General features: G+C 42.4%; 1 protein-coding gene and 1 pseudogene across 3 annotated transcripts in view, besides 1 other annotated feature; one reads left to right on the plus strand and one right to left on the minus strand.

The window, feature by feature from the left end:
* PRSS23 (serine protease 23) overlaps window positions 1-26,156 on the plus strand; it is a 161,840-nt gene that overhangs the window by 32,110 nt on the left and 103,574 nt on the right. For all 3 annotated transcript variants that reach the window (NR_120591.3, NR_120592.2, NR_120593.2), the window contains exon 2: window positions 197-413. The gene's annotated coding sequence lies outside the window, so the exon portion shown is untranslated. The remainder of the gene's footprint in view (window positions 1-196; window positions 414-26,156) is intronic.
* Window positions 9,426-10,079, minus strand: OR7E13P (olfactory receptor family 7 subfamily E member 13 pseudogene; annotated as a pseudogene).
* Window positions 25,563-25,763: a silencer, noted in NCBI's record as "peak1379 fragment used in MPRA reporter construct". NCBI's record gives its function as "represses an SCP1 promoter by STARR-seq MPRAs in K562 erythroleukemia cells {active_cell/tissue: K562}" and the evidence as "EXISTENCE:reporter gene assay evidence [ECO:0000049][PMID:32103011]".

Genomic DNA, 26,156 nt, shown 5'->3' on the forward strand with positions numbered 1-26,156 from the left:
GATACATACAATTTATTCAGTTCCTATTTCTTTTACTTTAGTATTCCTAATCTGTAAAAGCATCATAAAAAAAAATGTATGATTAATCTCATTTTACAGATGAAGAGACTGACGGTCCGAGATGTAGAATAGCTAACCTAATTTAGTGTAAAGCCAGGACTTTGAACTTGCTGTCTCTGTGTTTCATCTACTTCAGATGGCTCCCTAATGAGTAGAATGAGACCTGTGTGCCAACCCTGGCCTAGTCCTCATGCCCCCACAACTGTGAAGCGAGAGGGCTCAACAGTTTCGAATTCAATTCAACCACCACCTCCTGAATACCAACTAGGTTCCAGGACCTGGCTAGAAGCAGAGACACCAGGACAGAAAAGACAGTGTTCTGCTTTCATGGAGTTCACAGAAGAGTCGAGGAGGTAAGTTCATATCAGATTATCACAAAGCAGTGTGCTTAATGGTGCTTAAATCTTTTCATGTTTCCACATTTTCTAATGCATTTTAACGGAGCAAAGCAATGTCACATTGGTTTCATCAAGAATTCAGAGCAGGCCGGGCGCGGTGGCTCACGCCTGTAATCCCAGCATTTTGGGAGGCCGAGGCGGGCGGATCACGAGGTCAGGAGATCGAGACCATCCTGGCTAACACGGTGAAACCCCGTCTCTACTAAAAATACAAAAAATTAGCCGGGCGTGGTAGCGGGCGCCTGTAGTCCCAGCTACTCGGGAGGCTGAGGCAGGAGAATGGCGTGAACCCGGGAGGTGGAGCTTGCAGTGAGCCGAGATCGCGCCACTGCAGTCCGGCCTGGGCGACAGAGCGAGACTCCGTCTCAAAAAAAAAAAAAAAAAAAAAAAAAAGAATTCAGAGCAAGGGGCTTTGGTGAAGAGAAGTCAAAGCCAAAAGAGGGCTCTGCCGTTTAGAAGAAGGGGAATCATTCAGCCTGGGCAACATAGTGAAATCCCGTCTGTACAAAAACTTCAAAAATTAGCCGGGCATGGCCCCGTATGCCTGTGGTTCCACCTACTTGGGAGGCTGAGGTGGGAGGATCGCTTGAGCCTGGGAGGTGGAGATTGCAGTGAGCCAAGATCACAACACTGCACTTACTCCATTCTGGGCAAAAGAGTGAGATCCTGTGTCAAAAATAAAAATAAAAATAAAAATAAAATAAAATAAAATAAAATAAAATAAAATAAAATAAATAAAATAAAAAAACAAAATGGAGGAAAGTAAGAACAGTGGGGTGAGGCCTTTGAACTCTGAAATTATGATGGAACCCAGTCTTTTTATCTTTTTTTTTTTAAATTTTATTTTATTATTAGTATACTTTAAGTTTTAGGGTACATGTGCACAATGTGCAGGTTAGTTACATATGTATACATGTGCCATGCTGGTGTGCTGCACCCATTAACTCATCATTTAGCATTAGGTATATCTCCTAAAGCTATCCCTCCCCCCTCCCCCCACCCCACAACAGTCCCCAGAGTGTGATGTTCCCCTTCCTGTGTCCATGTGTTCTCATTGTTCAATTCCCACCTATGAGTGAGAATATGCAGTGTTTGCTTTTTTGTTCTTGGGATAGTTTACTGAGAATGATGATTTCCAATTTTATCCATGTCCCTACAAAGGACATGAACTCATCATTTTTTATGGCTGCATAGTATTCCATGATGTATATGTGCCACATTTTCTTAATCTAGTCTGTCATTGTTGGACATTTGGATTGGTTCCAAGTCTTTGCTATTGTGAATAGTGCCACAATAAACATACCTGTGTATGTGTCTTTATAGCAGCATGATTTATAGTCCTTTGGGTACATACCCAGTAATGGGATGGCTGGGTCAAATGGTATTTCTAGTTCTAGATCCCTGAGGAATCGCCACACTGTCTTCCACAATGGTTGAACTAGTTTACAGTCCCACCAACAGTGTAAAAGTGTTCCTATTTCTCCACATCCTCTCCAGCACCTGTTGTTTCCTGACTTTTTAATGATTGCCATTCTAACTGGTGTGAGATGGTATCTCATTGTGGTTTTGATTTGCATTTCTCTGATGGCCAGTGATGGTGAGCATTTTTTCATGTGTCTTTTGGCTGCATAAATGTCTTCTTTTGAGAAGTGTCTGTTCATGTCCTTGGCCCACTTTTTGATGGGGTTGTTTGTTTTTTTCTTGTAAATTTGTTTGAGTTCTTTGTAGATTCCGGATATTAGCCCTTTGTCAGATGAGTAGGTTGTGAAAATTTTCTCCCATTTTGTAGGTTTCCTGTTCACTCTGATGGTAGCTTCTTTTGCTGTGCAGAAGCTCTTTAGTTTAATTAGATCCCATTTGTCAATTTTGTCTTTTGTTGCCACTGCTTTTGGTGTTTTAGACATGAAGTCCTTGCCCATGCCTATGTCCTGAATGGTAATGCCTAGGTTTTCTTCTAGGGTTTTTATGGTTTTAGGTCTAACGTTTAAGTCTTTAATCCATCTTGAATTGATTTTTGTATAAGGTGTAAGGAAGGGATCCAGTTTCAGCTTTCTACATATGACTAGCCAGTTTTCCCAGCACCATTTATTAAATAGGGAATCCTTTCCCCATTGCTTGTTTTTGTCAGGTTTGTCAAAGATCAGATAGTTGTAGATATGCGGCGTTATTTCTGAGGGCTCTGTTCTGTTCCATTGATCTATATCTCTGTTTTGGTACCAGTACCATGCTGTTTTGGTTACTGTAGCCTTGTAGTATAGTTTGAAGTCAGGTAGGGTGATGCCTCCAGCTTTGTTCTTTTGGCTTAGGATTGACTTGGCAATGCGGGATCTTTTTGGTTCCATATGAACTTTAAAGTAGTTTTTTCCAATTCTGTGAAGAAAGTCATTGGTAGCTTGATGGGGATGGCATTGAATCTATAAATTACCTTGGGCCGTATGGCCATTTTCACGATATTGATTCTTCCTACCCATGAGCATGGAATGTTCTTCCATTTGTTTGTATCCTCTTTTATTTCCTTGAGCAGTGGTTTGTAGTTCTCCTTGAAGAGGTCCTTCACGTCCCTTGTAAGTTGGATTCCTAGGTATTTTATTCTCTTTGAAGCAATTGTGAATGGGAGTTCACTCATGAGTTCACTCATGATTTGGCTCTCTGTTTGTCTGTTATTTGTGTATAAGAATGCTTGTGATTTTTGTACATTGATTTTGTATCCTGAGACTTTGCTGAAGTTGCTTATCAGCTTAAGGAGATTTTGCGCTGAGACGATGGGGTTTTCTAGATATACAATCATGTCATCTGCAAACAGGGACAATTTGACTTCTTCTTTTCCTAATTGAATACCCTTTATTTCCTTCTCCTGCCTAATTGCCCTGGCCAGAACTTCCAACACTATGTTGAATAGGAGTGGTGAGAGAGGGCATCCCTGTCTTGTGCCAGTTTTCAAAGGGAATGCTTCCAATTTCTGCCCATTCAGTATGATATTGGCTGTGGGTTTGTCATAGATAGCTCTTATTATTTTGAGATACGTCCCATCAATACCTAATTTATTGAGAGTTTTTAGCATGAAGCATTGTTGAATTTTGTCAAAGGCCTTTTCTGCATCTATTGAGATAATCATGTGATTTTTGTCTTTGGTTCTGTTTATATGCTGGATTACATTTATTGATTTGCGTATACTGAACGAGCCTTGCATCCCAGGGATGAAGCCCACTTGATCATGGTGGATAAGCTTTTTGATGTGCTGCTGGATTTGGTTTGCCAGTATTTTATTGAGGATTTTTGCATCGATGTTCATCAAGGATATTGGTCTAAAATTCTCTTTTTTGGTTGTGTCTCTGCCCAGCTTTGGTATCAGGATGATGCTGGCCTCATAAAATGAGTTAGGGAGGATTCCCTCTTTTTCTATTGATTGGAATAGTTTCAGAAGGAATGGTACCAGTTCCTCCTTGTACCTCTGGTAGAATTCGGCTGTGAATCCATCTGGTCCTGGACTCATTTTCGTTGGTAAGCTACTGATTATTGCCACAATTTCAGAGCCTGTTATTGGTCTATACAGAGATTCAACTTCTTCCTGGTTTAGTCTTGGGAGGGTGTATGCATCGAGGAATTTATCCATTTCTTCCAGATTTTCTAGTTTATTTGCGTAGAGATGTTTGTAGTATTCTCTGATGGTAGTTTGTATTTCTGTGGGATCTGTGGTGATATCTCCTTTATCATTTTTTATTGCCTCTATTTGATTCTTCTCTCTTTTCTTCTTTATTAGTCTTGCTAGCAGTCTATCAATTTTGTTGATCCTTTCAAAAAACCAGCTGCTGGATTCATTAATTTTTTGAAGGGATTTTTGTGTCTCTATTTCCTTCAATTCTGCTCTGATTTTAGTTATTTCTTGCCTTCTGCTAGCTTTTGAATGTGTTTGCTCTTCCTTTTCTAGTTCTTTTAATTGTGATGTTCGGGTGTCAATTTTGGATCTTTCCTGCTTTCTCTTGTGGGCATTTAGTGCTATAAATTTCCCTCTACACACTGCTTTGAATGTGTCCCAGAGATTCTGGTATGTTGTGTCTTTGTTCTCGTTGGTTTCAAAGAACAACTTTATTTCTGCCTTCATTTCGTTATGTACCCAGTAGTCATTCAGGAGCAGGTTGTTCAGTTTCCATGTAGTTGAGTGGTTTTGAGAGAGTTTCTTAATCCTCAGTTCTAGTTTGATTGCACTGTGGTCTGAGAGACAGTTTGTAATAATGTCTGATCTTTTACATTTGCTGAGGAGAGCTTTACTTCCAACTATGTGACCAATTTTGGAATAGGTGTGGTGTGGTGCTGAGAAAAATGTATATTCTGTTGATTTGGGGTGGAGAGTTCTGTAGATGTCTATTAGGTCCACTTGGTGCAGAGCTGAGTTCAATTCCTGGGTATCCTTGTTAACTTTCTGTCTCATTGATCTGTCTAATGTTGACAGTGGAGTGTTAAAGTCTCCCATTATTATTGTGTGGGAGTCTAAGTCTCTTTGTAGGTCACTCAGGACTTGCTTTATGAATCTGGGTGCTCCTGTATTGGGTGCATATATATTTAGGATAGTTAGCTCTTCTTGTTGAATTGATCCCTTTACTATTACGTAATGGCCTTCTTTGTCTCTTTTGATTTTTGTTGGTTTAAAGTCTGTTTTATCAGAGACTAGGATTGCAACCCCTGCCTTTTTTTGTTTTCCATTTGCTTGGTAGATCTTCCTCCATCCTTTTATTTTGTGCCTGTGTGTGTCTCTGCACATGAGATGGGTTTCCTGAATACAGCACACTGGTGGGTCTTGACTCTTTATCCAATTTGCCAGTCTGTGTCTTTTAATTGGAGCATTTAGTCCATTTACATTTAAAGTTAATATTGTTATGTGTGAATTTGATCCTGTCATTATGATGTTAGCTGGTTATTTTGCTTGTTAGTTGATGCAGTTTCTCCCTAGCCTCAATGGTCTTTACAATTTGGCATGATTTTGCAGCGGCTGGTACCGGTTGTGCCTTTCCATGTTTAGTGCTTCCTTCAGGAGCTCTTTTAGGGCAGGCTTGGTGGTGACAGAATCTCTCGGCATTTGCTCGTCTGTAAAGTATTTTATTTCTCCTTCACTTATGAAGCTTAGTTTGGCTGGATATGAAATTCTGGGTTGAAAATTCTTTTCTTTAAGAGTGTTGAATATTGGCCCCCACTCTCTTCTGGCTTGTAGAGTTTCTGCCGAGAGATCCGCTGTTAGTCTGATGGGCTTCCGTTTGTGGGTAACCCAACCTTTCTCTCTGGCTGCCCTTAACATTTTTTCCTTCATTTCAACTTTGGTGAATCTGACAATTATGTGTCTTGGAGTTGCTCTTCTCGAGGAGTATCTTTGTGGCGTTCTCTGTATTTCCTGAATCTGAATGTTGGCCTGCCTTGCTATATTGGGAAGTTGTCCTGGATAATGACCTGCAGAGTATTTTCCAACTTGGTTCCATTCTCCCCGTCACTTTCAGGTACACCAGTCAGATGTAGATTTGGTCTTTTCACATAGTCCCATATTTCTTGGAGGCTTTGTTCGTTTCTTTTTATTCTTTTTTCTCTAAACTTCCCTTCTCGCTTCATTTCATTCATTTCATCTTCCATCACTGATATCCTTTCTTCAAGTTGATCACATCGGCTCCTGAGGCTTCTGCATTCTTCATGTAGTTCTCGAGCTTTGGCTTTCAGCTCCGTCAGCTCCTTTAAGCACTTCTCTGTATTGGTTATTCTAGTTATACATTCGTCTAAATTTTTTTCAAAGTTTTCAACTTCTTTGCCTTTGGTTTGAATTTCCTCCTGTAGCTCATAGTTTGATTGTCTGAAGCCTTCTCTCAACTCGTCAAAGTCATTCTCTGTCCAGCTTTGTTCCGTTGCTGGTGAGAAGCTGCGTTCCTTTGGAGGAGGAGAGGTGCTCTGCTTTTTAGAGTTTCCAGTTTTTCTGCTCTGTTTTTTCCCCATCTTTGTGGTTTTATCTACTTTTTGTCTTTGATGATGGTGATGTACAGATGGGTTTTTGGTGTGGATGTCCTTTCTGTTTGTTAGTTTTCCTTCTAAGAGACAGGACCCTCAGCTGCAGGTCTGTTGGAGTTTGCTAGAGGTCCACTGCAGACCCTGTTTGCCTGGGTACCAGCAGCGGTGGCTGCAGAACAGGGGATTTTCGTGAACCACGAATGCTGCTGTCTGATCGTTCCTCTGGAAGTTTTGTCTCAGAGGAGTACTTGGCCGTGTGAGGTGTCAGTCTGCCCCTACTGGGGGGTGCCTCCCAGTTAGGCTGCTCGGGTGTCAGGGGTCAGGGACCCACTTGAGGAGGCAGTCTGCCCGTCCTCAGATCTCCAGCTGCGTGCTGGGAGAACCACTGCTCTCTTCAAAGCTGTCAGACAGGGACATTTAAGTCTGCAGAGGTTACTGCTGTCTTTTTGTTTGTCTGTGCCCTGCCCCCAGAGGTGGAGCCTACAGAGGCAGGCAGGCCTCCTTGAGCTGTGGTGGGCTCCACCCAGCTCGAGCTTCCCAGCTGCTTTGTTTACCTAAGCAAGCCCGGGCAATGGTGGGCGCCCCTCCCCCAGCCTCACTGCCACCTTGCAGTTTGATCTCAGACTGCTGTGCTAGCAATCAGCGAGACTCCATGGGCATAGGACCCTCCGAGCCAGGTGCGGGATATAATCTCCTTGTGCATCGTTTTTTAAGCCTGTCGGAAAAGCGCAGTATTAGGGTGGGAGTGACCCGATTTTCCAGGTGCCATCTGTCACCCCTTTCTTTGACTAGAAAAGGGAACTCCCTGACCCTTTGCGCTTCCCAAGTGAGGCAGTGCCTCGCCCTGCTTCAGCTCGCACATGGTGCACTGCACCCACTGACCTGTGCCCACTGTCTGGCACTCCCTAGTGAGGTGAACCTGGTACCTCAGATGGAAATGCAGAAATCACCCATCTTCTGTGTCGCTCATGCTGGGAGCTGTAGACCAGAGCTGTTCCTATTCGGCCATCTTGGCTTGACTCTGTAATATCCTATAGAAGTGTTGCTCCTCATATCACAGGGGCTATACACCCCGTAATATTATTCGTAATATCCTAGGGAGACATTACTACTAATATCACAGAGGTGTACACCCTTTAACATTATTTGTAATATCCTAGGAAGATATTACTCCTAATATCTCACTGGGTGTACACCCTGTGATATTATTCATGATATCCTAGGGAGATGTTCCTCCTAATGTCATCAGGGGTGTACACCCTGTGACATCATTTGAAATATTCTATGGGGATGTTACTTTTAAAGTCACAGGGGGTTTACAAACTGTGATATTATACATAATGTGCTACACGGATGTTACTCCTAATGTCACAGGCGTGTACACCCAGTGATATTATTTGGAATATCCTAGGGGGATGTTTCTCCTAATGTCAACGGGGTTTACAACTTGTAATACTATTCGTAATATCCTAGGCGGATGTTATTCCTAATGTCACAGAAGGTGTACACTCCGTGATATTATTTTTTATATCCTAGCAGGATGTTATTACTAATGTCACAATGCTTGTACACCCTGCGATATTATTCATAATATCCTAAGGGAATATTACTCCTAATGTCATAGCGGGTTTACACCTTTTTGTATTATTCGTAATATCCTAAGGGAATATTACTCCTAATGTCATAGCGGGTTTACACCTTTTTGTATTATTCGTAATATCCTAGAAAGTTGTTACTCCTCATGTCACAGGGTGTGTACACCCTGTGATATTTTTTGTAATATCCTAGTGGGATGATACTCCTAATGTCATAGCAGGTGTACCCCCTGTGAAATTTTTTGTAATAGTTTTGGGGGATGTTACTTTTAATGTTACACGTGGTATACACACCGTGATATTATTCGTAATAGCCTATAGAAATGTTACTCTTAATATCACCGGGGCTCTACACCCTGTAATATTATTCATAATATCCTAGGGGAATGTTACTACTAATGTCACAGGGGGTGTACGCCCTGTGATATCATTCCTAATATTCTAGGGGATGTTACTCCTAATGTCACAGGGGGTGTACACACTGTGATGTTATTCATAATATCCTAAAGGTATGTTACTACCAATGTCATAATGCTTGTACACCTTGTGATATTATTTCTAATATTCTAGAGAGATGTTACTCCTAGTGTCGCAGCGGGTATACACCCTGTCATATTATTTGTAATATCCTATGCCAGTGTTCCTCCTAATGTCACAGGTGATGTGCACCTTGTGATATTATTCACAATATTCCGGAATGATGTTACTCCTCATGTTCCAGTGTGTGTACACCCTGTGATATTATTCGTAATATCCTAGGGGGACCTTACTCCTAATGTTCGAGATGGTGTAACTCCCGTGATATTACTCATAATATCCGAGGTAAATGTTACTCCTAATGTCACAGGGGATGTATGCCATGTATGTACACCCCCTGTGATATTCTTCATAATATTCTATGGGGATGTTGTTAATATTACTGGTGGTGTTCACCATGTGCGTACACCCCCAGTGATGTCATTCATAATATCGTAGGGAGATATAATTCCTAATATCACAGTGGGTGTACCACATGTGTGAACACCCTTGATATTATTCATAACATCCAGGGTAAATATGACTTCTAATATCACAGAGGGTGTACACCTGGGGATATTTTTCACAATATTTTAGGGAAATATGGCTTCTAATATCACAGTGGGTGTACTCCATGTGTGTACACTCTGTGATAGTATTTTTCATATCCTAGGGAGCTATTACTCTTAATATCACAGTGGGTCTTCACCCTGTGATATTATTCGTATTTGACCTTGCTGCCTTTTTTAACCCACACTACAAAAGGAATGGAACAGATAATAAAATAATGAGATTAAACTGTTCTGCCATGCAACCACCACAGGACCCTTTTGATGTCCCTGTTTCTCAGTCTGTAGATGAAGGGGTTCAGCATGGGGGTGATCACCGTGTACATCATTGAGGCCACTGCACCCTTTCTGGGGGAAGATGACACATCTGAACTCAGGTACCCCCCAACGACTTTTCCATAAAATAAGCAAACAACTGACAGGGGAGACCCACAGGTGGAGAAGGCTTTATACTTCCCACCTGATGATGAAACACTCAGCATGGAGGAAACAATTTTATAGTAAGAGAAAATGATCCGTGAGATAGGAAGAAAACCAAATATGGCAGCAAGGAAATACATGACTATGTTATTGGTGAAGGTGTCACAACACGCAAGGTGTGGGAGTTGAGAAGGGTCACAGAAGAAATTAGGAATTTCCACATCCTTGATGCAGGTCATTTGTAAGGCAATCAAATTGTGCAGCTGGGAGTCTAAAAGACTGAGAAAAAAAAAAACACAAAACTAGGAAGCCACAGAAACATGGGTTCATGATGGCTGAATAATATAGAGGGTGACAGATGGCTACAAACCGGTCATAGGCCCTCACACTCAGGAGCATGTCTTTCTTCCATGCCTCCAAAAACAGCAAAGAGAGACATCTGAGTCAGGCAGCCTGCATAGGAGATGACTCTGCTGTGAGATTGGATGTCCACAATCATCTTGGGGACCGTGTTGGAGGTGAAACCGATGTCAGCCAAGGACAGGTTGGAGAGGAAGAAGTACATGGGGGTGTGGAGGTGGAAGTCAGAGCTGACGGCCAGGATAATGAGCAGATTCTCCAGCACCATGACTAGGTACATGAACAGGAACAGCCCAGCGAGGGCCAGCTGCAGTTTTGGATCCTCTGAGAGTTCTAGGAGGAGGAATTTTGAAGCATCTGTTAGATTCTGTGGGTCTGTATAGTTCGGACATGTATATATATATATATATTTACTGTTGCAAGATTTAATAGAGTGAAGACAGAGCTCCCATACAAAGGGAGGGGATCCATAGAGGGTAGCCATTGCTGGCTCGAATGCCTGGGTTTATATCCAGATCATTTTCCCTCCCACTGTGCTCTCAGGCCATAGATGATTGGCTATTTCTTTACCTCCTGTTTTTGCCTAATTAGCATTTTAGTAAGCTCTCTTATTGGTCGGGCGTGAGCTAAGTTGCAAGCCCCGTGTTTAAAGGTGGATGCAGTCACCTTCCCACCTAGGCTTAGGGATTCTTAGTTGGCCTAGGAAATCCAGCTAGTCCTGTCTCTCAGTCCCCCCTCTCAACAGGAAAACCCAAGTACTGTTGGGGAGGTTGGCCGACTGACCACTCTAACTGCTTCTTGCTGAATTGGGGCATAGTAGGGGTTGTGCAGTTGAGATTTCCTCGGGAGGGGTGCCTTCGATGTCATTAACATCAGAGCATGTGCTAGCAGGCCGGTCCAGGGGTCCATGGTAGATCTTAGTCATGGACTGCATCTGGGGCTCCATTTGAAGAACATTTGTAGTTTTACAGCTTCGATTCTGGAAGAGACAAACTTAACAAGGAGGTTAGAGATACAGGGATTGAAATGTATGGCCTGCAGTGCAGGGGATTATTTCTTTGGCACACTTCACAGGCCCTGACCATCTGCTTAATAGTTTTGAAGAGGCCTGGTCCAGTAAATAAGAATTTGGCCATCTGATGGGTGCTATCAATGCCTAAGTGAAAGATTTGGTGAAGGGTTTTAAGTAATTTTCATTGGTTAGCTGCAGGCAAAAGTATTTTTCCTTCTTCGGTGGCTAGTCATCCTGAGGGGAGGAAACTATGTCCTCCTGAGGTTCCCCATTCTATTTCTTCTTCTGAGTACCGGGACTTGGTTTTCCCGAGGGGATTACCCAAACTAGGGGTCCTTCTATAAGCATTTCTAATGAAGCGTCCTGCCTTGCGGTTCTTTTGGCTTCAATATCTGCTTGGTGATTCCCTTCTATTTTCCTTTCCTTTCCTTTCCTTTCCTTTCCTTTCCTTTCCTTTCCTTTTTCCTTTCCTTTCCTTTCCTTTCCTTTCCTTTCCTTTCCTTTCCTTTCCTTTCCTTTCCTATGACTCCGGCAGTGTAAGACTGCCACCTCTTTAGGTTGCTGTACAGCCAATAATAATTTCCTAATGGCTTCCTGATGTTTGATAGGTGTTCCCTCGGAAGTTAGGAATTCCCTTTCTCTCCATATTGCTGCATGGGCATGGAGGACTAGGTAAGCATACATAGAGTCTGTATATATATTTACCCTTTTTCCTTCTCCTAATTCTAGTGCCCGAGTAAGGGCTATTAGTTCTGCCAGCTGAACAGTAGTTCCTGGAGTGAGGGGATTACTTTCAAGTATTCCATTATCACTGACCACTGCATACCCCGCTTTTCGAAGTCCTTTTCCTACAAAGTAACTTCCATCAGTATACAAGTTGAGGTGGGGATCAGTCAAGGGAACCTCTAAATGGTCCCCTCAAGTGGCATAGGTTTGAGCAATTACTTGTTGACAGTTATATTCTACCTTTTCTTCATTGTCTGGAAGAAATGTAGCTGGGTTAAGAGTTGCACAAGTGTGCAGTTGCAGCACTGGCCTTTCAAGTAATAGAGCCTGATATTTAAGTAAACAGTTGTCTGACAGCCACAAGTCTCCTTTAGCAGTGAGTATGCCTTTCACATCATGAGATGTCCACACAGTAAGATCTCTTCCTTGTATTATTTTAACTGCTTCAGATACTAAGACTGCTACTGCCACCACTACCTGTAAACAATGAGGCCAACCTTTTGCCGCTACATCAATTTCCTTACTCAGGTATGCCATGGGTTGCAAGCTCATCCCTTGGACCTGTGTAAGGACTCCTAGAGCTATTCCTGTTTTTTCTGTGACATATAAAGAAAAGTCTTGCCCCGTTGGCAAGCTTAACACTGGGGCTTGGGTTAGGGCCCTCTTTAGGGCCTGGAAAGCTGCTTCTGCTTCAGGGGTCCATCTTACTAAATGGGTATTGGCTTTTTGAGTTTCCTTAATTAGTGTATATAATGGTCTGGCTATTTCGTCTTACCTGGGAATCCATATTCGGCAGAAACCTGTTATGCCAAGGAACCCTCTTAGTTGCTTTAGGGTTTTAGGATGAGATTAAGCCAGTATAGGCTGGATACGTTCCTCACTGAGGGCCCTGGTGCCTTTGGATAATTTTAGCCCTAAGTACGTAACCTCCTGTGAGCAGAGCTGAGCCTTTGGTTTGGAAACCTTGTAGCCACAGGTAGTGAGGAAATTTAAGAGTGCTTGGGTGGCTTGATGGCACAAGGTTTCTGAACGGGCAGCTAAAAGTAAATCATCCACGTACCGAAGGACAAGAGTGTCCAGGTATGAGAATTGGCTCAAGTTTTGGGCTAATACCTGGCCAAATAGATGGGGGCTATCCCTGAACCCTTTCGGTAAAACAGTCCAGGTGAGTTGAGATGTGGGGTTTGAAGGTTCTTCAAAGGCAAACAAGAATTGAGAGTCAGGATGTACAGGGATGCAGAAAAAGTCATCCTTAAGGCCCAGGACTGTAAACCACTCTGCTTCCTCTGGTATTTGAGAAAGCAGAGTGTAAGGGTTAGGTACAGCTGGGTATAGAGGGACAAGGGCCTCATTGATAATCCTGAGATCTTGCACTAACCTCCACTGTCCGTTGGGTTTCTGTACTCCTAAAATTGGAGTATTGCAGGGGCTATTGCACGGTTTTACTAGGCCTTGGGCTTTTAGGTCCTTAACAATCTTTTGGAGTCCTTGTTGGGCCTTGGGGTCTAAGGGGATACTGCCTTTGGTAGGGAAAGGAGGCAGAATCCTTTAGTTTGACTTGAACAGGATGGGTATTCTTTGCTCATCCATATTGTCCTTCTGTTACACAGACTTCAGGATTAATTCCTTCCTCAAGCAGGGAAGAACAAATGGGTGTTCCTTTTCCTATGTTCAGGTGTGTAATAGCCCCTGCTTTTGCTAGAATATCTCTCCCTAACAAGGGAGTGGGGCTTTCAGGCATAATTAGAAAAGCATGTGAAAACAGTAAAGCTCCCTAGTCACAACTTAGTGGCTGGGAGAAGTATCTAGTGACTGGCTGTCCCAGGACCCCTCGAATAGTGACAGATCTGGAGGACAGTTGTCCAGGACAGGAGAGTAAGACTGAGAAGGCCGTGCCAGTGTCCAGGAGACAATTAACCTCCTGGCTGTCAATGGTCAAGCATACCCAGGGCTCTGTGAGGGTGATGGCATGGACTGGCACTTGCCCCGGGCACCCTCAGAGTTTGGACATATTTTGAGTAGAAAAGAGGATTGAAAAATAGAAAACAAGTAAACCAACACCCAGAACTGTGTCTGCATTTTGGATATAAGCAATTCACAAGTAATGTTTTCAGATTTCAGAGCAATCCACACTCAGCAATATTGTGCAGTTCTGACAAACTCAATTTTTTTATAATTCTTTTATTGAGTTTTGTGTTATTCACTTCTTGCTGTACACACCTGCCTTAGAGACACTAGATTCAAGAATGTTCCAAGAACCAGATCATCATATATAACAAATTCATAATTGCTAGAAAATACAGCCTATCTTTTCCAAAGAAAAATATGTAATAAAATCATTCTCTTTGCTTTAAGAAAAAGTTTATCCTAATTAAAAGAAATTAAGAACTCAAATGTATTATTTTATTCTAATAGATTGCCACAAGTTCCCTTGATTTAGAACATTTATAAACACTGTGTAACAGCTGAGACCAGGTCATCTGGAAATAAAATTATAGTTGATAGTTCATAATCAGAAAATATTTCCAGATGCCAGTTATGTTCTCTGACTTTTCTCCTTCAAGAGAGTAATTGCTTACTCGAGTAGGTGGGCCTTGTTTTAAAATTCATGTAAGATATAACTTCTGTCCCTAGCTTAGGCGGACTTAGAGATTTCATAAGAAAGTTTGGCCAGACACAGTGGCTCACACCTGTAATCCCAGCACTTTGGGAGGCTGAGGTGGGTGGATCACAAGGTCAGGAGATCAAGATTATCCTGGGCAACATGGTGAAACCATGCCTCTACTAAAATTACAAATATTAGCTAAGCATGGCAGCATGCACCTGTTGTCCCAGCTATTTGGGAGGCTGAGACAGGAGAATGGCTTGAACCTGGGATGCAGAGGCTACAGTGAGCCAAGATCACACTGCTGCACTTCAGTCTGGGTGACAGAGCGAGACTCCATCTCAAAAAAAGAGAGAAAGTTTTAGTTAAATGGACATAACTGGAGATCGCTTTTAAGATGGCCAAATAGGAACAGCTCTGGTCTGCAGCTCCTAGTGAGATCGACACAGAAGATGGGTGATTTCTGCATTTCCAACTGAGGTACCTGGTTCTTCTCATTGGGACTGCTTGGACAGTGGGTGAAGTGCACAGAGGGTGAACTGAAGTAGGGCAGGGTGTCACCTCACCTGGGAAGTGCAAGGGGTCAGCAGATTTCCCTTTCCTAGCCAAGGGAAGCCGTGACAGACTGTATCTGAAGAAACGGTACACTCTTTTTTTTTTTTCAATTTTTAAAATAGCTTTATTGACATATAATTGGCATCCAGTACACTTCATGTGTTTACAATATAAAATTTGATCTGCATTGACACAGGCACACACCTACAAAACCATCACAACAATCAACCATCACCAGCACATCCATCACCACCAAAAAGAGAAACGGTACACTCTTGACCAAATAGTGCACTTTTCCCATTGTCATAGCAAATAGCAGACCAGGAGATACCCTCCCATGCCTGGCTTGGTGGGTGCCACAGCCACGGAGACTTGCTCACTGTTAGCACAGCAGTCTGAGATCAACCTGTGGGGCTGCAGCTTGATGGGGAGAGGGGCATCTGCCATTGCTGAGGCTTGAGTAGCTCACAGTGTAAACAAAGCTGCCAGGAAGCTCAAACTGGCTGGAACCCACCACAGCTCAGCAAGGCCTACTGCCTCTCTAGATTTCACTTCTGGGGGCAGGGCATAGCAGAACGAAAGGCAGCAGACAGATTCTGCAGACTTAAACATCCCTGTCTGACAGCTCTGAAGAGAGCAGTGGTTCTCTCAGCATGGCATTCGAGCTCCAAGAACAGACATACTGCCTCCTCAAGTGGGTCCCTGAACCCTGTGTAGCCTGACTGGGAGACATCTCCCAGAAGGGGAGCAAAGACACCTCAAACAGGTGGGTGCCCCTCTCAGATGAAGCTTCCAGAGGAAAGATCGGGCAGCAATATTTGCTGTTCTGCAGCCTCCACTGGTGATGCCCAGGCAAACAGGTTCTGGAATCGACCTCCAGTAAACTCCAAGAGACCTGCAACTGAGGGGCCTGACTGTTAGAAGGAAAACTAACAAAGAGAAAGGAATAGCATCAACATCAACATCAACAAAAAGGACATCCACATGAAAACCCCATCTGTATGTCACCAATATCAAAGACCAAAGGTAGATAAAACCACAAAGATAGGGAGAAACCAGAGCAGAAAAGCAAAAAATTAAAAAAAAAAAACAACAGAGCGCCTCTTCTCCTCCAAAGGATTGCAGCTCCTCGCCAGCAAGGGAACAAAACTGGATGGAGAATGAGCTTAACGAGTTGACAGAAGTAGACTTCAGAAGGTCAGTAGTAACGAACTTCTCTGAGCTAAAGGAGCATGTTCTAACCAATCACAAGGAAGCTAAAAACCTTGAAAAAAGGTTAGACGAGTGGCTAACTAGAATAAACAGTGCAGAAGAGACCTTAAATTACCTGATGGAGCTGAAAACCACAGCAGGAGAACTTCATGATGCATGCGTTATCAGTGACTGAAGGTCAAATTAATGAAATAAAGTGAGAAGAATAGAGAAAAAAGAGGGAAAAAACCTAACAAAGCCTCCAAGAAATATGGGGCTATGTGAAAAGACCAAATCTATGTTTGATTGATGTACCTCAAAGTGATAGGGAGAATGGAACCAAGTTAGAAAACACTCTTCAGGATATTATCCAGGAGAACTTCCCTAACGTAGCAAGGCAGGCCAACATTCAAATTCAGGAAATACAGAGAACACCACAAAGATATTCCTTGAGAAGAGCAACCCCAAGACACATAATCGTCAGATTCACCAAGGTTGAAATGAAGGAAAAATGTTAAAGGCAGCCAAAGAGAAAGGTCAAGCTACCCAGAAAGGAAAGTGCATCAGACTAACAGCAGATCTCTTGGCAGAAACCCTACAAGCCAGAAGAGAGTGGGGGCCAATATTCAGCATTCCTAAAGGAAAGAATTTTCAATCCAGAATCTCGTATGCAGCCAAACTAAGCTTCATAAGTGAAGGAGAAATAAAATCTTTCACAGACAAGCAAATGCTAAGAGATTTTGTCATCACCAGGCCTGCCTTACAAGAGCTCCTGAAGGAAGCACTAAACATGGAAAGGAACAACCTGTACCAGCCACTGCAAAAACATGCCAAATTGTAAAGACATCGATGCTATGAAGAAACTGCATTAATTAATGGACAAAATAACCAGCTAACATCATAATGACAGGATCAAATTCAAACATAGTAATATTAACCTTAAATGTAAGTGGGCTAAATGCCCAAATTAAAAGCTACAGATTGGCAAATTGGATAAAGAGTCAAGACCCATCAGTGTGCTGTATTCAGGATACCCATCTCATGTGCAAAGATGCACATAGGCTCAAAATAAAAGGATGGAGGAAGATCTACCAAGCAAATGGAAAGCAAAACAAACAAACAAACAAAAAAAGCAGGGATTGCAATCCTAGTCTTTGTTAAAACAGACTTTAAACCAACAAAGATCAAAAGAGACAAAGAAGGCCACTACATAATGGTAAAGGGATCAATTAAACAAGAAGAGCTAACTATCCTAAATATATATGCACCCAATACAGGAGCACCTAGATTCATAAAGCAAGTCCTTAGAGACCTACAAAGAGACTCCCACACAATAATAATGGGAGGCTTTAACACCCCACTTCAGTATTAGACAGATCAACAAGACAGAAGGTTAACAAGGATATCCAGGACTTGAACTCACCTCTGGAACAAGTGGACCTAATAGACATCTACAGAACTCTCTACCCCAAATCAACAGAATATACATTCTTGTCAGCACCACATCACACTTATTCTAAAATTGACCACATAATTGGAAGTAAAACACTCCTCAGCAAATGTAAAAGAACAGAAATCACAACAAATTATCTGTCAGACCACAGTGCAATCAAAGTACAATTCAGGATTAAGATACTCACTCAAAACTGCACAACTACATGGAAACTGAGCAACCTGCTCCTGAGTGACTACTGGGTAAATAGCAAAATGATGGCAGAAGTGAAGATGTTCTTTAAAACCAGTGAGAACAAACACACAACATACCAGAATCTCTGGGACACATTTAAAGCAGTGTGTAGAGGGAAATTTATAGCACTAAATGCCCACAAGAGAAAGAAGGAAAGATCTAAAATTGACACCCTGACATCAAATTAAAAGAACTAGGGAAGGCCAGGCGAGGTGGCACATACCTGTAATCCCAGCATTTTGGGAGGCTGAGGCAGGCGAATCACCTGAGGTCAGGAGTTCGAGACCAGTCTGACCAACATGGAGATACTCCATCTCTACTAAAAATACAAAATTAGCCTGGTGTGGTGGCACATGCCTGCAATCCCAGCTACTCAGGAGGCTAAGGCAGGAGAATCCCTTGAACCTGGGAGGTGGAGGTTGCAATGAGCCAAGATTGAGCCATTGCACTCCAGCCTGGGCAACAAGAGGGAAACTCCATCTCAAAAAAAAAAAAAGAAGAAGAAAAAAAAAAAAGAACAAGGACTAGGGAAGCCAGAGCAAAGAAACTCAAAAGCTAGCAGAAGTCAAAAAATAAGTTCAGAGCAGAACTGAAGGAGATAAGAGACACAAAAAACACTTCAAAAAAATCAATGAATCCAGGAGCTGGTTTTTTGAAAAGATCAACAACACAGACCGCTAGCAAGACTAATAAAGAAGAAAAGAAGAAATAATCAAATAGACACAATAAAAAATGATAATGGAGATATCACCACTGGTCCCACAGAAATACAAACTACCATCAGAATACTATAAACACCTCTATGCTAATAAACTAGAAATCTAGAAGAAATGGATATATTCCTGGACACATACACCCACCCAAGAGTAAACCAGGAGGAAGTTGAATCTCTGAATAGACCAATAAGAAGGTCTGAAATTGAGGCAATAATTAATAGTCTACCAACCAAAAAAAGTCCAGGACTAGACAGATTCACAGCCAAATTCTACCAGAGGTATAAAGAGGAACTGGTACCATTCCTTCTGAAACTATTCCAATCAACAGAAAAAGAGAGAATCCTCCCTAACTCATTTTATAAGACCAGGATCATCCTGATACCAAAACCTGGCAGAGACACAACAAAAAAAGAGAATTTTAGACCAATATTTCTAACGAACATCAATGAGAAAATCCTCAGTAAGATACTGGCAAACAGAATCCAGCAGCACATCAAAAAGCTTATCCACCACTATCAAGTCAGCTTCACCCCTGGGATGCAAGGCTTGTTCAACATACACAAATCAATAAACGTAATCCATCACATAAAGAGAACCAAGAACAAAAACTACATGATTATCTCAATAGATGCAGAAAAGACCTTTGACAAAATTCAACAGACCTTCATGCTAAAAACTCTATATAAACTAGGTATTGATGGAACGTATCTCAAAATAATAAGAGCTATTTATGACAAACCCACAGCCAATATCATACTGAATGGGCAACAACTGGAAGCATTCCCTTTGAAAACTGGCACAAGACAACGATGGCCTCTCTCACCACTCCAATTCAACATAGTGTTGGAATTTCTGGCTAGTGCAATCAGGCAAGAGAAAGAAATAAAGGGTATTCAATTAGGAAAAGAGGAAGTCAAATTCTGTTTGCAGACGACATGATTGTATATTTAGAAAACCCCATTGTCTCAGCCCAAAATCTCCCTAAGCTGACAAGCAACTTCAGCAAAGTCTCAGGATACAAATTCAATGTGCAAAAATGACAAGCATTCCTATACACCAATAATAGAGAGCTAAATCATAAGTGAACTCCCATTCACAACTGTGAGAAAGAGAATAAAATACCTGGGAATCCAAATTACAAGGGATGTGAAGGACCTCTTCAAGGAGAACAACAAATCACTGCTCAACGAAATAAAAGAGGACGCCAAGAAACGGAAGAACATTCCATGCTCATGGGTAGGAAGAATCAATATTGTGAAAATGGCCATACTGCCCAAGGTAATTTATAGATTCAATGCCATTTCCATCAACTAGCACTAATTTTCTTCACAGAATTGGAAAAAACTACTTTAAATTTCATATGGAACCAAAAAAGAGCCCACATAGCCAAGACAATCCTAAGCAAAAAGAACAAAGATGGAGGCAGCACGCTACCTAACTTCAAACTATACTACAAGGCTATAGTAACCAAAACAGCATGGTACTGGTACCAAAACAGATATATAGACCAATGGAACAGAACAGAGGCCTCAGAAATAACACCACTCATCTACAACCATCTGATCTTTGACAAATCTGACAAAAATAAGCAATGGGGAAAGGATTCCCTATTTAACAAATGGTGCTGGGAAAACTGGTTAGCCATATGTAGAAAGCTGAAACTGGATCCCTTCCTTACACCATATACAAAAATTAACTCAAGATGGATTAAAGACTTAAATATAAGACCTAACACCATAAAAATTCTAGAAGACAACCTAGGCAATATCATTAAGGACATAGGCGTGGGCAAAGACTTCATGACTAAAACACCAAAAGCAATGGCAACAAAAGCCAAAATAGACAAATGGGATTTAATTAAACTAAAGAGCTTCTGCACAGCAAAAGAAACTACCATCAGAGTGAACAGGCAACCTACAGAATGGGAGAAAATTTTTGCAATCTATCCATCTGACAAAGGGCTAATATCCAGAATCTACAATGAACTTAAACAAATTTACAAGAAAAAAAGCCCCATCAAAAAGTGGGCAAAGAATATAAACAGACACTTCTCAAAAGAAGACATTTATGCAGCCAACAGACATATGAAAAAAAGCTCATCATCACTTGTCATCAGAGAAATGCAAATCAAAACTACAATGAGATCTCATTTTACACCAGTTAGAATGGTAATCATTAAAAAGTCAGGAAACAACAGATGCTGGAGAGAAGTGGAGAAATAGGAACACTTTCACATGTTAGTGGGAGTGTAAGTTAGTTCAACCATTGTGGAAGACAGTGTGGCAATTCCTCAAGTATCTAGAACTAGAAATACCATCTGACCCAGCAATCCCATTACTGGGTATATACCCAAAGGATTAAAAATCATTCTACTATAAAGACACATGCCCACGAATGTTTATTGTGGCACTATTCACAATACCAAAGACTTGGAACCAACCCAAATGTCCATCAATGATAGACTGGATTAAGAAAATGTGGCACACATACACCATTGAATACTATGCAGCCATAAAAAAGGATGAGTTCATGTCCTTTGCAGGGACATGGATGAAGCCTGTAACCATCATTGTAAGCAAAGTGTCACAAGGACAGAAAACCAAACACCACAAGTTCTCACTCAGGTGGGAGTTGAACAATGAGAACACATGAACAAAATGCAGGGAACATCACACACCGGGGCCTGTCAGGGGGTAGGCAGCTGGGAGAGGGATAGCATTAGGAGAAATACCTAATGTAAATGTTGAGTTGATGGGTGCAGCAAACCAACATGGCACATGTATACGTATGTAACAAACCTGCAGGTTGTGGACATGTACCCTAGAACTTAAAGTATAATAAAAAAAAAATGGACATAACCATAGGCCATCACTTACTACACCAATGTCCACAGTGTGCAATACAGCTGTCAATGATTAAACAATAATGAAGTTCTAAGAACATTTTGGTTTACTTTTTTTGAGTCTGGAGTAATGTGAAAGTCTAAAATGTGTGTCAGTCCAAGCAATAAGGTTTACCTGCCCCCATTTCTTTCTGCCTCTATTTCTTTTTTATTAGACCTATGAAAAGCTCTTCCTTGGTTTTTGAATAATTGAATGCTGTGAATACTAATCAATAGAATCATAGGACCCACGTCATGACATAGAAACAAACAAGTGTTGTTTTATCATCTCTAGTTCTATGGCATGTTGCTGGAAGGGATGAAAGAACAGGCAGCAAATAATTGAGTATGTTGGGCTGGGCATGGCGGCTCATGCCTGTAATCCCAGCACTTTGAGAGGCCGAGGCAGGCAGATCACCTGAGGTCAGGAGTTCAAGAACAGCCTGACCAACATGGAGAAACCCCATCTCTATTAAAAATACAAAATTAGCTGGCCATAGTGGTGCATACCTGTTACCCTAGCTACTCAGGAGGCTGAGCAAACAAATCACTTGAACTTGAGAGGTGGAAGTTGCTGTGAGCTGAGATCACACCATTGCACTTCAGCCTGGGTAACAAGAGTGAAACTCTGTCTCAGAAAAAAAAAAAAAAAGAATTAAGTAAGTCGAAGTCACACTGATCACAGCCAATTTTTGTGAACCAAGGAAGGTTCTATTCAATAATTAACATAGATTTTTACTTTTGCTATCTCCTGTGTGCCACGCAAAATATAGACTCTGGAGAATCAGAAGCAAAAGAAACTCACTTGTTCCTCTCACAATACTCAGTACTTACTTAGATAAGGACAAAATAAAATGTCCTGTCTGGAATGCAGGGAAACCAGAACTTCAGGTCAGGGGATACTTCAGTTGAATTGTATGGAGATTAAGCTTAAAATATTATGAATGTATCTTAAATTCACTTTGTCTTTACTTGATACATCCATCACATAGACATCATGCAGTGGGCACCTACAATAGGTTTAATCACTGCTCACTTCTGTTGGATCAACAAGAAATCAACTCATATGACAGTGATGAGTCTCAGAATGAGAGGAGGTGCCAGCTGGGCCTCTTGGGTTGAGTAGGGGCTCAGAAAGCTGTGAAACTCACTCATTTCCCTGCATCAGGACTTACTTCAGTCCTGGATGAATAATATTGAAGATATATGCTTAAAATATTCCTAACACCAGAATTTGTGCATTGTGTTTTCTTCCCCAAGAAAGCTATAAACAGCAAAAAAATTTTGCTGTAAGTTTCCCTGTGTCCTATTTCTCTTCCCCCTACCCCAAAACTAAAAGGAATGTTAACTGCTCATTTTTCTGTGACCAGCAGACCTTATCTATGCTCCCAATTCCAATTTCTTATAAAAGTACTTTGTAAGGTCCTGTAAGATCCTGTCTCCTTTACCATGCTACTGCAAGGTCATAAAGTAGCTAAAACCTAAGTTGCAATTCCAGTTTTCCTCAAAATCTAAGACATGTCACAAAATAATTTACTGCCTTTGTTTCTCAATCTGGTAACATCTTCCCACCACACATATTTCCTGCCTTAAAGAGTTGAAAAGGCAATTGTATAATCTCACTCTGGTTACCTGTTCAGGACACCTTCCACAGTGTGCTTTCACTCAGCTCAATAAAGCCTACAACTTTTTCTCTCTCTCGGTCCTTGCCTCTATCACTCACCATAGTCAGCCACCACACCAATTCTTTGGTGTGGCTAGGCAAGAACCTTAGGTGTTACATTTTGGTGAGCCAGGCAGGATACTCCAGGAAAGGCATCTAGATCATCACACTGTGAGTACAATCAGACCTCTTTTGCTTGCTATTCTGTCCTGTCCTTCCTTAGAATTTGGAGGCTAAACTAGGCACCTGTCAGCCACTTAAAGGTGATTAGTGTGGCTGCTGGACTAAAGACACGGGTGTCAGGCTGTCTGGAAAAGGTTCTCTAACAACCCCTGACCCTTCAGGTTTGGGAGCATTGGTTGGCCTGGAACCAGTTCCAACTCTTTTGCTTTCCATGGTGGTTCTGAAGTACACCTGGGAGTGCTCAGTGGAAATCTTAGTCTCCCAGATATCCTAGTTGAGACCACAGCCCTGCCAGAGGCTCCCCCTGCATGGGTTAGTGAGCATGAGACAGCCACATCTTCTGACTCCCACCTCCTAATGAGTCCTAATGTCCACCAGTTAGACTTCTTTCCTCATCTTGTAAGCAAGGTTATTCCCACTAGACAGGATCAAGATTCCCTATTTAGAAGACTTAAAGTCTTGGGGTGGCACCCAGAAGATCCCTGTTCATGGTGCCCTCTAGGGTTCAGGCAGGTGTCACCATTTGATGGCTATTTTGAAGGACCAGTTCCCCACCATAGTGTGTAGTCCCCCACATCAGGATAATTTAAAGATAGGTCTGTAATTTTCATGTGGATAGTAGAAGCCTTAGGGCATTTCCTCCATTGCTCCCCAGATAAACTTTCCCCTTCCTTGGGGCCTATCAAGTACAATCTATGGTGCATGGGTACAGCTCTTAGAGCCATTGAATTGTTGTTTCAACCATTTAATAATTGGTATTGGAAGAAAATGTAGTCAGTTGGGACACAGGATACTGGTACCACCTTGAGAGGGGGGCTTACTCTTTTGATGGCAAGTGGGGACAGAAGGCTAAAGTACAGCAGCTGTTCTCTCAGCCCTGGTCTGGAGGACATCCACCACCCCCTTTAAGCTTACTAAGCCTCCTGTTGCTAATTCAGAGATTTCTCCTTGAAGGACAGTTTTATGGCCAGGACCGCATAAAGTGGGCCTTAGCATTCAAGCATCAGTGGTGCCCCCAACCCAGGCCTTGCCACCCTGGAACAGGTTGGATGTATTGGCAGAAGGACCATAATAAATCCAACAGTCCTTGTGCCCCATTTAGTAGTCAATGGGTGCATGGCAGGGGCAAGGGAAGTTTCCATCCTGCCAGTAAGCATGGTTAAATCTGGTAGATGGAGAGCTCAGGAAAAGCGGCCATGAGCTTTCAGCACAATTAGTCCTGACCCTTAGGGGACACCCTAAGGGAAGATGAGTCCCAGGACTAACCAGGGGTGTGGGCATCCCTGTGTTTAAAATTCCAGATGGGCACCACACCTTCCAAACCGGACACTCCCTTAAGATGTATCCTGAATAACTGGGACAAATTCGACCCTGAAACCTTAAAAAAGAAGCAGCTAATTTTCTTCTGTACCACTGCCTGGCCACAGTATTCCTTACAAAATGGAGAAACTTGGCCCCCTGAGGGATGTATTAATTATAACACCCTTCTACAACTAGCTCTTTTCTGTAAGCAGGAAGGTAAATGGAGTGAAGTCCCTTACGTACAGGCTTTCTTTGCCCTTCTTGACAATACTGCCCTGTGCCAAGCCTGCGAGCTTTGCCCAAATGACAGAGGCCCACAATTACCTCCATATTCAGGGCCTCTTCCCTCAGCCCCACTCTCCTCCTGCACTGACTCTCCTCCATCTGGCCTCACTGAAGTGTTAAAGGCAAAATGGAAAGAGAACGTAAACTCCGAGAGCCAGGCACCCGAACTATGTCCCTTACAAACAGTAGGAGGAGAATTTGGGCGCATTCACATGCATGCCCCCTTCTCACTCTCAAATTTAAAACAAATAAAGGCAGATTTAGGGAAATTCTTGGATGATCCTGATAACCATATACATGTCCTGCAAGGATTAGAGCAGTCCTTTGATCTAACATGGAGAGATATCATGTTACTTCTTGATCAGACCTTAAGTCCTACTGAAAAAAAAGCAGCTTTAGCAGCAGCCCAGCAATTTAGGGATCGATAGTACCTTGGCCAGGTAAACAATCCATTGAATGGCCTTGGAGGAGAGGGAAAAATTGCCCACAGGGGAACAGGCAGTCCCCACTGTAAATCCTTATTGGGATACTGACTCAGATCATGGAGATTAGAGCCACAGGCATTTGCTAACTTGCATTTTAAAAGGGTTGAGGAAGACTAGGAGAAAGCCTATGAACTACTCAATGCTATCCACCATTACCCAGGGAAAAGAAGAAAATCCCCTCAGCCTTTCTAGAAATGCTGCGGGAGGCTCTAAGAAGGCACACCCCCGTAACTCCGGATTCCCTGGAAGGCCAACTTATTCTAAAGGATAAACTTATCACCTAAGAAGCGGCCGATATTAGGAGAAAACTCCAAAGGTCTGCCTTAGGCCCAGAACAAAGCTTGGAGGCATTATTAAACCTGCCAACCTCGTTGTTCTATAACAGGGACCAAGAGGAACAGGCCAAAATGGAAAAGCAAGATAAGAGAAAGGCTGCAGCCTTAGTCTTGGCTCTCAGACAGGCAGACCTTGGTGGCTCAGAGGGAACCAAAAGAGGAGCAGGCCAATTGCCTAGTAGGGCTTGTTATCAGTGCGGTTTGCAAGGACACTTTAAAAAAGATTGTCCAACTAGAAACAAACTGCCCCCTCGCCCATGTCCAATATGCCAAGGCAATCACTGGAAGTAGCACTGCCCCAGAGGATGAAGGCCCCCTGGGCCAGAAGCACCCAACCAGATGATTCAGCAACAGGACTGAGGGTGCCTGGAGCAAGTGCCAGCTCATGCAATCACCCTCACAGAGCCCTGGGTAAGTTTGACCATTGAGGGCCAGGAAGTACACTTCCTCCTAAACACTGGCCCAGCTTTCTCAGGATTAATCTCCTGCCCTGGAAGACTGTCCTCAAAGTCCATTACTATCTGAGGAATCTTAGGACACCCTGTAACCAGGTATTACTCTCACCTCCAGCTGCAATTGGGAGACTTTGCTCTCTTCACATGCCTTTCTTGTTACGCCCAAAAGTCCCAC

The sequence above is a fragment of the Homo sapiens genome, chromosome 11 (genome assembly GCF_000001405.40).
Source record: "Homo sapiens chromosome 11, GRCh38.p14 Primary Assembly".
Lineage (NCBI taxonomy): Eukaryota > Metazoa > Chordata > Mammalia > Primates > Hominidae > Homo > Homo sapiens.